Here is a 15,107-nt window from a genome sequence, read left to right as displayed (position 1 = left end):
TATCACAAGAAGTTATAAAATATAAACCCACCAATACTGTAATTAAATATTGGCACATTATTTTAATGAATTTGACATTTCACTGTAGAATATATATTCCATCATATAATCTGAATTTTAAAAGTGTTCTGTTTTCAAACTTGGGAAAAATGTAATGGTAAGACAAATAAATTACAAAATGACTTACAAATTCAGCTAATATTCAATTCTGGGCTACACTTACTAATGGCATCATTAATAACAATTTGCTAAAAACATGCTAGAATATTGCACTAATTAGTGTATCAGTCTGGTATTTTCATTACTATTTACAATACAGATTATATTTGCTCTCCCCCCTTCTTATCTTTTCCTCCATAATCTCCAGGTTTGAGGGAAAACTCTGGCATTTTTCCTTCCAAGTAATTTCTTCCCTGGCTGTGTGACTGCATCCCAGAAGCAGCTGTGCTAAGGGCTGGTCAGAGCCTCTCAAGGAATGAGATTAGTCCTGCTAGCTGAAAGGAAAAGGAGGTTTACCCAGTAAAGCCTTCATTTTCCCATTATTTTAAGTTGTGTCTGATCTCTTTTAATTCTTATTTTTAATTATGCTATTCTATATGTACTTTTTTAGGATTCCTTTCTGAAAGGAGCCAGGCTACACATTATACATTCATAAAGTTATAAGGTAACAATGGGCTTCTGCCATGCCCAGGCCTACACTGGGGGACAAACAGGCAGACCACCCTGTCCACTGAGTTAGTGAGAATTCACCTATGCAATGGGTCCCCTGTTGTCTTGGGTTTGTGTTACAATTTCTACATTAACAAGGATGAAACTATATTACAAAATCTACACACAGCTTAGACACTTTCACTGGCTATACAAAAACAGTTGCCCAGATCGGCATCACCCAAGTTAAAACAAAACTGCAAAACAGAAAAACAAAAGCTTTCCTTTTTTTTGTTGTTTAGTTTTAGTTCACTCCCTGCTGAATTATGTATGCATCCTCAACGTACACTAAGGATGGGATAGCTACGGAAATGGAAAACTACTTCAGGCCTACTTTCAAGGAGTTTAAATTTTGAAAAGTAAGATGAGGCAAACCCAGAATGAAACATAAGGCAGGATGCCCTAATTGTGCTTTAAAAATGGTGCAAATAAAGAGCTAGGCATTTGGGAGAAGGTAGATGAATGACAGCTGGCAAAGTTTACCACGCATTGACCAATTCAAGCATGCCTGACACTGGAGCTTCACATCTGGCACCTCATTTAAACCACTGCATGTAGCAGCAGTAGCCCCACCAACCTAAAGATGACAAAACTAAGGCTCTGAAAGCTTCTGTCACTTTTGTGCCCAACGCTAACGATGGATAAAGCTCCCCACACAAGACCACTCTTTCTCCATGGAATAAGGCCAAGCAAGAACAGCTTTATTATCAGGAAGATACAGCAATGAAATCTTCACTGCACTTTTATGTGTCCAAAATTCAACCAAAATAAAGTCGACATGGTCTTCGTATAAGCCCAGAAGGTAAGAAAGTGATGAAAATCATGGATAAAAAAGGAAAGTACTGAAAAAAATAGGTCAGCTGATGGGCTTAATTCTAGAAGTAACAACATGAAGCTTGGCTCGAATTGCTGATTATATTAACCTTACATAAACACTCTATTTTGATTAATAGGTTTCCAAATATATGACTTGCTTTTTCTCTGAGTATCATTTAATCCTCAACTTTGTTAACAGAAGAGAGGAAGAGGGTGCAAAAAAAATGGGCATGTTTGCTTTTTGATGCTTTGCTTAGGCTGATGTGGAAATCATAGTGTGTCTTTGAGAGCACACCATGGGGAAGACACCTAGAAGGGAAGGGGAAGTGAGTGTGGATCAAGATGTTTTGATTCTGATAATCCAGAAGAGATAATCCCTTTACAAACAGTGGGAGCGAAAGATATACGTACATGTTCAAAATTTTTCTGTCCTGATAACCAAGAAATAAAACAACGTCTGGTCCCTCTTTAAAAGGGAGAGAAAAAGAGAGAAAGGAAGGAATGAATCTAGGACTTAATTGAATTAAAGACATGAGAGGGCAGTCCGTTCATGGTTCACAGAGAGATATGAGCATTCCTAACTCTGCCTTTTGAAAGGTCAGAGCCATGCCAGAAGCACCACTAACAATGACAGATACATCAAGTTGTGAGTAATGAAGGTTCTCCCACTCAGGAAAGACAGAAAGAATAAGAGCTCATAGATAACAGGAAAATATTAAAAAGGCAACTAGTATCTTTGTCTTGAACGGCAACCAAATAAGAGGGAGCAAATGGGCAAGGGGCTGTGAAAAGGTACAGTAGGGTCTGAGTGACAGAAAGATAAGTAAGCTTTTAAAAGCTAGAGATACATGCAGATAAAGAATTTGTGTATGTCTTTGTTATTTATTGCTCTAATTCTATTATAAATATGCTTGTATAGAGGTGTTAGTGAATCGGCTTATGAGCTATTTGTATATTGTTTCTCAATCTTGTTGGCACACTGCAATCACTCGGAGAGTTTTTTTTAACATCCTAAAGCCTGGGGTTCATAGCCAGAAACTTTAGAGCGTGGCTTGGACATCAGGATTCTTGAGATGTCCAGTTGATTCCCACTGGGCTATGGGAAAGCCAGGTGAGCAGACGACACAACCTATTTCTGCTTTCTCTACCTAAACCAACCCTCCACAGATGCTGCTGTCCTAAGAGCAGAGGTAGTTCCCAGAAAGGGTCCGATTTGGATACCAGGCTAGTACCTGAGAAATAAGCTGATTTGGGAAATAAAATCTTACCCAATCCAGAATTAAGCATTGCTAGGTTAGATCCTTACTCTGAACTCCTCAGCTAGTTTCTGATACAATCAGAGCAACAAGAATCTGACCTGGAATGGAGTTTTGCGTATTTTGAGTTGTCCATCATCACAGAAAATTTGTGGGGCTTTTTTTCCTCACGTAATCCTCATCACAACCTAGCGAGGCAGGTGCTGTTACAATTCCCAATCACGTGCAGGCACTAAAGACTACAGAGGTTAGGTAACTTGTCCAAGGACACTGAGTTAGTAAGTGGCAGAGCCAAGAACTAATCCAGGTTTGTATGACACCAAAGTCCTGTCTTGAATCTACTGATTCTGCCTCATAGAACTGCATACAGGCAACATCAGTTGTTCATATGGGTATAGCTTGTAGAAGAAAAAAAAATGACTGACCCATTTCAGGTGCCTGGTCACCAGGCATTAAAAAGTTTCTATAGCTCTGTACTAAAAGTAAGTGACCTCTGGCCAGGTTCCTAAAATTTTCTCCAGAAAGAAGAGCACATGTCTTTAGTGCCACGTATCCTCCATCCAACCCACAATGGGCATTGTCCTTTCCTGCTGGAATCCCAGCCTAGGTCTGGCTCTGCAGCGTGGAGCTGGGCCACCACAGCTCTATCTGTGCAAACATACCTAGGCAGCAAACCGGAACCCCAGAACCACGTCCTCCCCACGTCCGCCTCTTAATGGAAGCATTCACATGAAAGCCGAGCAGCCAGAAATAAAACAATAAGAGTCACCACTGCCAAGACAAGCTTTCCAAATCCCTAAAATAAAGTAGCCAGATGAATAAAAATAAGCAGGGTAGGGTAGAAAAACAGTCAATGGAATCTGGTGTGCAGTCAGCACGATTGGAAGCACGGTGTTGTTTTTGTATGAAAAAGGAAAGTGGTGTCTCAGGAGGATCTGGACGAGTTCCCCACTCTCCAGCAACAACATCCTGAGTTATCAGCCACCAGAGCCATCGAGCAGCCATGCCGACAGACCAGGACAGCTGGGAACCTCGTTTGCAACATCTTGTTTTATGGTCAGAAGAGAAGATCTCATCTTGAAAGTCAAAATCATTACCAGTTCCACAGAGGAAGACCAAATGACATCATAAACATGTTATCGTGGAAATTTACTTTCAGAATCTTAACACTCCTCATGATGTCTCAATAACTGGGTAAAAGGTGAATCTGTCATTCACTCATCTAAAGCCCTGGCCCACCACAAAAGTGCATGGAACCTGCTGTTTTCCCAGTACTGAGGGGGCTGCTCTGTTATCTCCACCCTCTTGCTACTCTTCCTGGGACCACTGCCTTGGTGAAGATAGTCCTTGGGTAGAGGTAGGATCTAGGGTCATGTGCCCTCTTTGGACAATTCATCCCTATCTTCACCTAGGCAGGCAAGGGTCTCTCTAGAAGAATCGCAGCTACATCTTTCTATCCATCCTGAACTTCCTCTCTCAGCTCCGCAATGTCCTCGGTGTCTGACCCTCACTTCCCACTCCTCTAGACACCCCACCCAGCCCATAACTCAGCACCCATGGGGCACACATTCAGAACTGCCCCCCAGTAAGGGAGTGCTACCCAGCCAATAAAGCAGAACCCATGGGCTGACTCACCCCTGACTCTGCAGACCAAACAACCCAACGCTTCCAGGGTTAAATAGGCAGAAATATTAAGCAGTTCCCTACAAGTTTTGAGTGAGTCAAGATCTCAGCCTGCATCTCTTAAGAGATCAACAAAGAAGTCAGGTCAAACAACAGAAATGTGATCAACAATTCTCCAATATGAACCATGAGGTCTTCCCTGATCATCTCCTTAAAACTTCTTTCATAACCATCTTAACCTTCTTCCTCTGTTCTACATTTTCTTTTTATCTTAGCACATAAATAACCTTCTAACATAGCAATGCGATTTAGTCATGTAGATAGATGTGAATTTTCTCTCTTCCCTTCCTAGAACGTAAGCTCCATGAAGATTAGGAGCTTTGTTCATTGTTGTACAGTAAGAGCTTAATAAATATTCGTTGAATTGAATATTTATTACTAAAAGTAAGTGAGCTCTGACCAGGTCCCTAATATTTTCTCCAGAACAAAGAGCCCATGTCTTCAGTGCCATGTTTCCACCCAGCCCAAGATGGGCACTGTCCTATCTTGCTGGAAACCCAGGCTGGTTCCAGGTCCTCATGTCAGACAGCTTGAGTTCAAACTCTGGTCCCACCACTTAGCTGCATGAACTTGGAAGTAATTACTTAATTTCTCTATGCCTCAATTTCTGCATCTGTAACATGAGGACATTAATAGTACTGGCTCCATTGAATTAGTGAAAGGACTGAATGGGATGATACATATAAAGCCCTTAGAGCAGTGCCTGCCACAGAGTGAAGCACTCTAAGAATAACTGCTATCATGATTATGTTAGCTATTACTGGGTTCCATGAGACACAAATAAATAAATAATAGTTTTGTACAATAAGTGAACAATCTGTAAGTTAGTTTGAAGGTTTCTCTTTCCACTAAATTAGTAGTCAACTTACTTAACAGTTTTCTCTAGCTCCATTCAATGATCAATGTATCTGTTCCCTCACTCATCACAGTGCCAACTATATGGCTTGGTTCAGTTGCACCTTATAAACACTGGGAAGAAGAAGTAAGATGATGCATGCAAAGCAGTTAGCAGTGTCTGGAGTTCAACAAATGACAGTTGAAAAATGAAATATAACTAGGACACCAGGCCTCCTCTGATACTCTCTGAGTGCAGAAAGGGAGACACACAGCTCATGACTTAAATTCTAGAGAGAAGTATGGGAATAAACATGAGTACAGATTACTGTAGGGACACTGGTCCCCAAGGGTGCAGAAGAGCCCAAAGGGCTTCCTGGCAGGTACAACACTGCTTGGGACTCTGCCTAGGACAGGGATCCTGAGACCCTGGGCAGTGAACAGGGGTGTGTGTCGGACCATCTTCCTGGCCGAGCAGGCCAACAGCAATCATGCAGATAGCATGAGAGGAAGGCAGGAGACTAGGGATTCTCTGGGGTGTGAGAGGGAGGGCAGAGGTCTCAGAAACTTTCCACTGTGAGGCTTTAGAGCTCAAATGGCCTTTCACTAAATCACATGATTATTTGAAGTGTAACAAATACCTTATTGCCTGACTAAAGCTGAGCAGCTGGTAACAGTCTCTTACCAGCCAGACCACAGACAGTCTATGTGATACCATAATTCAAAGAAAACTAGTTACTAATTAAGGGATCTGACAACTGCTACAAGGTGAGTAATTTCGGAAATGCAAAGAAAATGAATCCCAAGGATGCTAAGGCACATTGACTTTCTGCATGCCCAAATTTACATTACTACACTGGGATCAGAGAAAAGAGTGGACTTCTCTCTACAGGGAGACAGAAAAAAGGCAGAGAAGTAGGCTCTGTGGACGCTACGGCTGCTGCTTTGCTGGTATGTTATCATTCCAGGATTAGAATCAAGAATGAAACAAGGCACTGCTGTGAGTTGCTAATTACATAAATATTGAAACTCTTAACCATAAAAGAAATGTTCTTTGCTGGAAAATAGAAAGCCTTTTATAATAAAAATGACCAAACCAGAAAGTTTTTTTCCAGGATTTTTCTTTGCTGGAAGCTGTTGAAGTCAAATATACCGTGAAACAGTCTATTACACTTCAGTTAACCATAATCCTCAATTTCTTAGATTTTCTTTTATTATATACTTCACAAATAACAAATAAAAACATAAGGAAAGCCAAAACTACCCACCCCCCTTGCAAAGGTAAAGAGGATCTAGAGGTTTTGTAGTATAAACAGCACGTCCACGTATGTGATTGATTAGATCTCTCCTATTTAAAAAAGCCTTTTAGTGGCATATCAAACTTTTTTTATTTTGATACAATGTGTAGTAAATAATCTTAGGCATGAGGCCATGTAAGATCTTCAGTTAGCAAAGATAAAATTATTGTCCCTCTAACAGACTTGCTAATTTGGGATGGAAATGTATCAGTATATTTTTAAAGACTTCCAACATAAAGAAATGAATCCTCCTTTTTACCTGCAGTAAATTATAGTTCCACTAAGCCAGATAACCACTACTCAGGTTTTCCAAATACTTGTGTTAAACATAAAGTAGAATGAAGGCAGCAGGCATCATTTTGAAGTAGAAATCATGCAGAATTCAAAATTTATACCATATGGTATTAATTACATCAGTAACTGGTTAATTTCAAACGAGATAAAAATTCAAAAGCTATTCAAAGGTTCCGTGCCAGTTTTAACATATTGCTGAAGAAGTCAAAGGAGGAATTATTGCCACAAGTTTTATCCAAAAAAAGTAACCCTCAAAGGTATTGCCAGTGACATTTTTAAGTAAATATAATTCAGAAAATTCAAAGCTACTGTAATATATTTAATGTCCCATAAGAAAGTAAATTTTATATGAATCGATTTGCAAATCCATAGTAATTTTCTTGTATATAATACAAATACTATATTTGTCACAAATATTTTATATGTATAAATGTATCCATAGCAACCTAAATTATAATTTCATCTATACATCCTTCTTGGAAACGACTCAAAGATATCGTTTGAAGCAATGTTTAATTCAGCTTTGTTCTCTTTTGGATAAAATAAGAACTTGAAATTTCAAATGAAGCCTACAGTTTAGGAGGCTGAAGTGGGCAATTAATTACGCTTTTCTGTTTTGTGAAAGCTTCTTCTCTATAGTCATTCAAGGAATACTTGCTGTGTACCTACTATGCGCCAGAAATAGTTCTAAGCAGTGGGCAAATCCAGCGAACGCTGGCAAGGAAATCCCGCTCTCTAGAACTCACCCTCCAGTGGGGTGATACAAACACAAATGACAAGTAAAATATACGGCATGTTACAGGGTGGTAAGCGCTAGAAAGAAAAATAATAAGAAAAAAAAAACTACGAAGTGCGGGAGAAGCGTGGCAACTTTAAACAGGGTGACCAGGGAAGAATTCGCAACCAAGGTGACAGCTGAGTGCAGAGCTGACAGAAAGAAGAGAGGAAGGCACGGGATCCTTAAGGGCTGAGCCTTTCCCCAGAGGGACAGAGAGCAGAAAAGCCCTAAGGTAGCAGCAGGATGGCATACTGCAGGCACACCAGGGAAGGCTGTGGGACTCCAGCGAGGGGACAAGGGTGAGAAAATCAAGAAAAGAGGCCAATGAGGTCATGGAGTAGGCAATCACATAGAGCTTTCGGCCACTGTAAAAGTCTGCCATTTCCTGGCCACTGGAGGGCTTGGAGCAGAGGGTGGCTCACATTTTCATAGGCTCTTCTCGCTAGATTTGTGTTTGGAATCTAGGGCAGGCAGGGAGGCCAGGGAGGAGGTGACAACCCAAGCAATGTAAGATGGTGGTTAGACCTGAGTGGCAGAGTGGAAGTGACAAGAAGTGGTCACATTCAGGTTGTATCTTTTGAAAGTAAAGCCAACTGAATTTGCTGATTGGATGGGGGTTTGAGAGAAAAAGAGTAGTCAATTATGATTCCCAATTTTGGCCTCAGAAATTGGAAGAACGGAGTTGCCATCCTCAGATGTGGAAGCCTATGGCAGATATTGGGGGGCAGGTCAAGAGTCATTCTGGAGATGCAAATGTTGAGACACCTATTAGATATGCAGGTAAGGAAGTGTTCACAGCTGGGCCTCGGGACAAATGTTGGGAACTGTAAGAGTATAAATGGCATGGAAAGACATCAACTCTAAAGAGGAGTGAGTGAAGATTAGAGAAGAGGGCCATGCACTCAGCCCTGGGACATTCCAACCTACAGAGGCAACAAGAGGAAGAACACTAAAAGGGAGTGGTCTGTGAGGAAGAAGGAAAACACAGGCCAGCAAGGTCCCTGGAAACCAAGTGAAGACAGTGTTTCAAAGAGGAGGGAGTGCTCCACTGTTCCTATAGCTGCTGCCGGGCCAAATCAGCCAAAGACTGAGAAATGACTGTCAGATCCAGCAAGTGGAGGCCACAGGTGACCCTGAGAAAAGTGGTGGAGGGGGAATGTAGGAGCAAAAGCCTGATGAAGGTGGGTTCAGGAGAGAATGGACGATTACCCAGAGTAGTCAAATTTACAGAGATAGAAGGTATAAGGATGGTTGCCAGGGGCTTGGAGGAGGGAAAAATGAGGTGTTAATGTTTACTGGGTACAGAATTTCAGTTTTGCAAGATGAAAACATTCTGCAGATTGGTGGCTTAATAATGTAAATGTACCTGACATTACCGAATTGCACACTTAAGAATGGTTGAGATGGGCCAGGCGCAGTGGCTCATGCCTGTAATCCTGGCACTTTGGGAGACCAAGGCAGGTGGATCACTTGAGGTCAGGAGTTCAAGACCAGCCTGGCCAACATGGTGAAACCCCATCTCTACAAAAATACAAAAAAATATTAGCCAGGCATGTGGCACATGCCTGTAATTCCAGCTACTCGGGAGGCAGAGGTAGGAGAATCGCTTGAACCCAGGAAGCAGAGGTTACAGTGAGCCGAGATCGTGCCATTGCACTCCAGGCTGGGTGACAGAGCGAGACTTCATCTCAAAAAAAAAAAAAAAAAAAAAAAAAAAAGGTTGACATGGTAAGTTGGATGTTGTGTTGTATATGTCTTACCAAAATTAAAAGCTTTAAAAACTTTGCAAAGAGAGAGACTGAAAGGAGAGGAATAAGTTATAATGAGTTCAGGCAAGTCAAAGTAAAACAGAGCAGATAAATGGAAGCTGGAGAGGGGCATGGTATGGGGGAAGAAATCAGCATGTTTGTATGCTGATGGGAATAGCTTGGTGGCCAGGGGAAAACTGATTATTCAGAAGAGAAAGGAGACAACTGATGGAGTGATGTTCTTAAAAAGGTGGGAGGGGGCCGGGTGCGGTGGCTCACGCCTGTAATCCCAGCACTTTGGGAGGCCGAGGCAGGTGGATCACGAGGTCAGGAGATCGAGACCATCCTGGCTAACATGCTGAAACCCCGTCTCTACTAAAAATACAAAACAATTAGCTGGGCGTGGTGGCGGGTACTTGTAGTCCCAGCTACTCGGGAGGCTGAGGCAGGAGAATGGTGAGAACCTGGGAGGCAGAGCTTGCAGTGAGCTGAGATCGTGCCACTGCACTCTGGCCTGGGCACCAGAGCGAGACTCCGTCTCAAAAAAAAAAAAAAAAAAAAAGGTGGGAGGGGACCGGATCTTTCAAGTGGAGGGTGTGGCCTTCCCAGGGGCATCAACAATTCCTCCACAGCAAGGGAGACTAGCCAGCGAGTGCAGACAACTGAGAAGATGTGGTGGCAGGTACACAGGGAAGCTCTTTCTAATTGCCTGCAAGCCCCGTTAGCTGAGAGGCAGGGATGGAGATATGCTAAAGGTTTAAGTGCAGGAGAAAGTATGAAGCAGTGAACAGACTGCGGGAAAGTCTCTGCAGAAGAGCACGGCGGTGTGAGTGCTGGGTGGCAGTAAAGCCCCCTTGAGTTAGTGGATATGAATTGAAAGTAAGGCCTCTGGGATGGCCACAGTGCATACAGACACCTCACTGAAATAAATAGAATTCACTGGGTTCACTTGGTTGTGTTCAACCTTGTTACCTGTGCCTATAAAAAACCCAATCCTTATGGAGATAATAATAACTTTTCAAAACTACTGGTTTATATTCTGCAGCTCTGGTCCCAGAGCATGTATCTAACTGGTAAGGGTCAAGGGAAGTCACTACCAGTAAGCATGCTCATCGGAAAGTCAAAGAGCCCGAAGGGAGGCTCACACTGACTACGTGGTACCCTCCCAACCCTTCCCGCCCCAGGAAAAACCACCCACACGTTGGCTCACTTACTCACTCATTTATAGATGTCTGCTATCAATGAGACACACCATGCTAGATATTAGAGACAGACATAAATAAGACTCAATTCACAACCTCAAGTAACTCAGACTCTGACAGGAGGGGGAGACAGGTAAACAAGAGAAAATGTATGAAGAGTTAGATTTACATTTAGCAGCATAGTTATATCTCAACTCTGCAAAGGTTGAGAAAGGCTTCAAAGAGGCATTGAGCTGTAAGCTGAGCCTCTGGATAAGTATTTGGAAGTCTGCAGGATGGAGTGGAAAATTCACTCCAGATTACCAGGCACAGCCTGAATGAGGAAGGGAGGAAGAGAATAGCTCTTTGAGAACTGTGACTGGCATTACGGCTGAGGCACATGGGATTGATGGCCAGTAGGGATCCAGGGAGCCAGCTCTAGAGGCCATGGTTACAAAGATCCAGGTGAGAAATGAGGAAGGCCCGAAATAAGGTGAAGATGGGTGGCACAGAAAGGAGGATTCGCCAGGGAAGACATTTGTGAGGTAGAATTCGCAGACCTTAGTGTTCCATTAAACATTGAAAGCAAAGAAGAGCTGGTGGCATCTGGGGCTTTCTGACGTGGATGAATGACTGGAAACGTGCTAGATGCTCAAAAGAAATGCAGGAAAGGCTGGGCGCGGTGGCTCACGCCTGTAATCCCAGCACTTTGGGAGGCTGAGGCGGGCAGATCACGAGGTCAGGAGTTCGAGACCAGCCTGAACAACATGGTGAAACCCCGTCTCTACTAAAAATACAAAAATTAGCCGGGCATGGTGGTGCACACCTGTAATCCCAGCTACTCAGGAGGCTGAGGCAGGAGAATCGCTTGAACCCGGGAGATGGAGGTTGCAGTGAACTGAGATCGTGCCACTGAACTCCAGCCGGGCGACAGAGCGAGACTCCATCTCAAAAAAAAAAAAAAAAAAATGCAGGAAAAGAAACAGGTTTGGAGGTGATGGTGGGAGAGAGGAGAGTCACGATCAGTTTAGATATTCATGCCTTGACTTAGGGTATCTATGGAGCAACCAAGTAGAGAGTATGTTGACCACCAGATTGTGGGTCTGGAGCCCATGAGAAATGTCTTGGCTAAAATGCGGGCTTGGAAGATCCATACAAATAGTTACCACACGTGATGTCACCCTGGAAAAATGTGAAACATGAGGAAAGAAAATGAGCTAGGAAAAGAACCCTCCAGCAGCTGCTACCATGAGGCCAATGCCTGTCTCTTTCCCCTCACAACTTCTTGAAACGTGAAGGCTTGGCTCTATAGGCCATGGGCTAGGGCAGGAAGTCCTAAACCAAAATGTAGTTTTATTTCCACTATGGCACTCTGCCCCAAGTATTTATTACACAATTCAATAATGATGATGGCATTCTGCTGATACCCTGACCAACTGTGTATAATACAGGGCAGAATTTAATTGCTACATTATCACTCACTTTTTAGGAACCAACACGATCCATGCTTTAGAAATCAATATTCTTTTGTTATATTTAGGGTCACTATCAATTCCCAAAACAACAAAAATATTGTAGGCTAAACTACTATGTTTATTGAGAAGTTAGACTCCTTCCAGAAATACTTCCTTGGGCAATTTTTTTTCCTTAGCCCAAAAATATGAAACAAAGAGTGAACTGTCTACAAAGTGCCTGATTTTCCAATTTTTAAAGTTCACATTTAGCTAGGGCAGCACTGATAAGAAAGACATTTTTTGTGATGGTGGCTGAATATAGTATATTCCACTGTGGAAGCATGAATGTTAAGGCTAGAAATAGTTTATTCAATTCAGAGGATTTCTGCAGTCTTTTTAACAGATCTATTTGGAAGCTTTTTGCTGCATTAAAAAGTAATGAAGTTGTTGACAATAAAATAGAAACCATTTCATATTACTGTTTACCAGAAACTACAATAGAAACAGTTTATCTAAATAATTTAAGGAAATATATTTAACGGGTATATTATTTTCAAACATATCATTTCCAAAAGACTTAAATGTAGACAAAATGCTTATTCTCTTGAGACTTCTCTTTTTCCTCTCATTTTGATCACACAATTTACACATCTAGAATTCATGAATAACAAATAATTGTTGCTCATATTTTTTTTAAACAAGGGTTTTCTCAAAACCTCTGAAAAGAGATACTGTTTATGGAATATATTCAGAAGTCTACCCTCTTCAAGCCTCTTGCATTATGCCTTGAACTTGAAGAGTAAGTAGGTTTTATCTTTTCATTTTCAATTGTCTTGTAAACAATTTGAAATATAAATCTGTTAGAAAATCTTCTTTTCTCCCCTGAAGTTCAAACTGTATATTAGTCTCATGCTAAAGTGGACATAAAAATGATGAAAAAATTATCCAGTGTTACCAATGAGAATTCTCGAGGTCTCCACTGTGATTCAACCGGCAATTACTGTGACCACACAGGCATATGTATGGGGCAGACATATGGCACCAGGCTCAAAAAATGCTTCTTAACTAGCAAATGGGGGACTGCCAGTACCACAAATCCTCATGGCCATCAACTATTATTAAGCACTTATTTTGTCCTGTACACATCAAGTCATCAAGTGTTTCCTATGAATTTAGGTTTGTTTTTTTTTTTTAGACAGAGTCTTGCTTGGTCACCCAGGCTGGAGTGCAGTGGCACAATCTTAGCTCACTGCAAACTCTACCTCCCAGGTTCAAACAATTCTGCTGCCTCAGCCTCCTGAGTAGCTGGGACTACAGGCATGCACCACTATACGGAGTTAACTTTTTGTATTTTTAGTAGAGATGGGGTTCCACCATGTTGGCCAGGCTGGTCTCGAACTCCTGACCTCAAGTGATCCACCTGCTTTGGCCTCCCAAAGTGCTGGAATTACAAGTGTGAGCCACCACGCCCGGCCTGAATTAAGTCTTAATCTCATAACAACTTAATGGGAGTATTATTCCCACTTGCAGAAGAGGAAACGGAGACGCAGAAAGGTAAAATAATTTGACCTCTAACACAGCTAAAAAGTGGAAAACTTGTGATTGTGTTTAGTGCCACTGAATTGTACATCTAAATTAAAATGGTTAAAATGATAAATCTTATGTATATTTTATCACAATAAAAAAATCACTAAAAATTATATTTAAAAAGAATCAACAGCTAGATCCAAACATGACTCCCTATACCAAACTAAATTCCAGGTAGGTTAAGAATTTAACAGTAAAACATAAAATAAATAAAATTACTAGAAAAAAAAAGTAGAAAAGCTGAGACTCAAACTCAAGTTCTCTAGCTTCAGAGTCCATGCTACATACTAACGGTCTTCCACAAATTGCTATTTTATGGGTAAAAACTACCCAAAGTGCTATTTTATAGACCTGCCTCATTATCATCAAATTAAGTTTCATAATAAGTCAATAGTGCTTCATGGCTTGCTGGGAAATATACAATGCATTGAGCATGTTTGGCTGCTGAACATATGAGGGACAAACCCCAAGACAAGTTTGGAAGCCACCTAAAAAGCCTCAAAATTGTAACCAGTTGATTTGTTGTAAAGAGACAGTCACTCTCAATAAGCAATGAGACGGCATGGCAAGTGCAGTGAGAACCTACTTTTGGAGCATGTAGTTTGAGGGAAATGTTTGCTATGGAAAGGATGCAGAAAATAATCACACTCGTGTTTTAAGAAACCACATGCATACAGCAGAGAACAAACAAAATTACAGTTTTCCAAAATACCTCAGAGTTGAAAGCTTGCAAAAAGCCTCAAGTCTTTACTGCAGATCTAAAATAGAGTTCAGACAGGAAGGGGTGGGGAGGGTGCAGATCCCAATCTTGAGGTCTCCAGACAAAAAGATTCCCAGATCTAGAGAGCACATATGTCCCTGAAGGCAGAACCAGAAGCAAGCTGGTGTGGGACTGCAAAAATCAAAGTGAAAAGCAGATCTTTCCAAAAGCCTGCACTTACACAGCAAAGAGTTTAAAAATGCCTCACATACAGGACTGCCCACCTTGTTTATTTTACTGTCTTTCATACATTCAGTTAATTGGTGTTTTCTCACCATTGTTCTGGATATCAGTTTAACTGCATTTTACAAAGGAAGGAAAGCCAAAATGTACCTCTCCCCATGCATTCAAATCCTCAAGGCTCAGTATAATTTACATTTAACAAACACTGCAGTCTTTTCCCAGTCCCAGTGTCTTAAGACACACAAAAGCTTGGCAGAGAACTGAAAGAGAAACAGAACCAACTGCTTGGTAGAGCTCTTATCAAATTAAGGAACTTCAAATAAAAAGTAAAGGTATCTTGGATTCTTAAATAACTGGTCAGACTGAAATAAGAAAGACATACATCTTTAGATTCAGATGACCCTGATTTATAAGAGCTTAAGTCCCCCATTGCTAAATCTAAATAATCAATATCACTCTGATTCTTTGAGTTTGCTGAGAAAGTAGTAATAATAAATAGTGATAACCTTCCGTAATTTTGGAAGCTA

General features: G+C 41.4%; 1 protein-coding gene across 5 annotated transcripts in view, besides 1 other annotated feature; it reads right to left on the bottom strand.

Annotated features, from left to right (window-relative positions):
* Positions 1 to 15,107, bottom strand: part of LRCH1 (leucine rich repeats and calponin homology domain containing 1) — a 199,872-nt gene that overhangs the window by 107,597 nt on the left and 77,168 nt on the right. The window lies entirely within an intron of this gene.
* Positions 5,943 to 6,042: an enhancer, noted in NCBI's record as "active region_7709". NCBI's record gives its function as "activates an Ori minimal core promoter by ATAC-STARR-seq in GM12878 lymphoblastoid cells {active_cell/tissue: GM12878}" and the evidence as "EXISTENCE:reporter gene assay evidence [ECO:0000049][PMID:35858748]".

Source organism: Homo sapiens, chromosome 13 (genome assembly GCF_000001405.40).
Source record: "Homo sapiens chromosome 13, GRCh38.p14 Primary Assembly".
Lineage (NCBI taxonomy): Eukaryota > Metazoa > Chordata > Mammalia > Primates > Hominidae > Homo > Homo sapiens.
The sequence above is the reverse complement of the archived record's forward strand: the minus strand, read 5'-3'. Positions and strand labels throughout refer to the sequence as shown.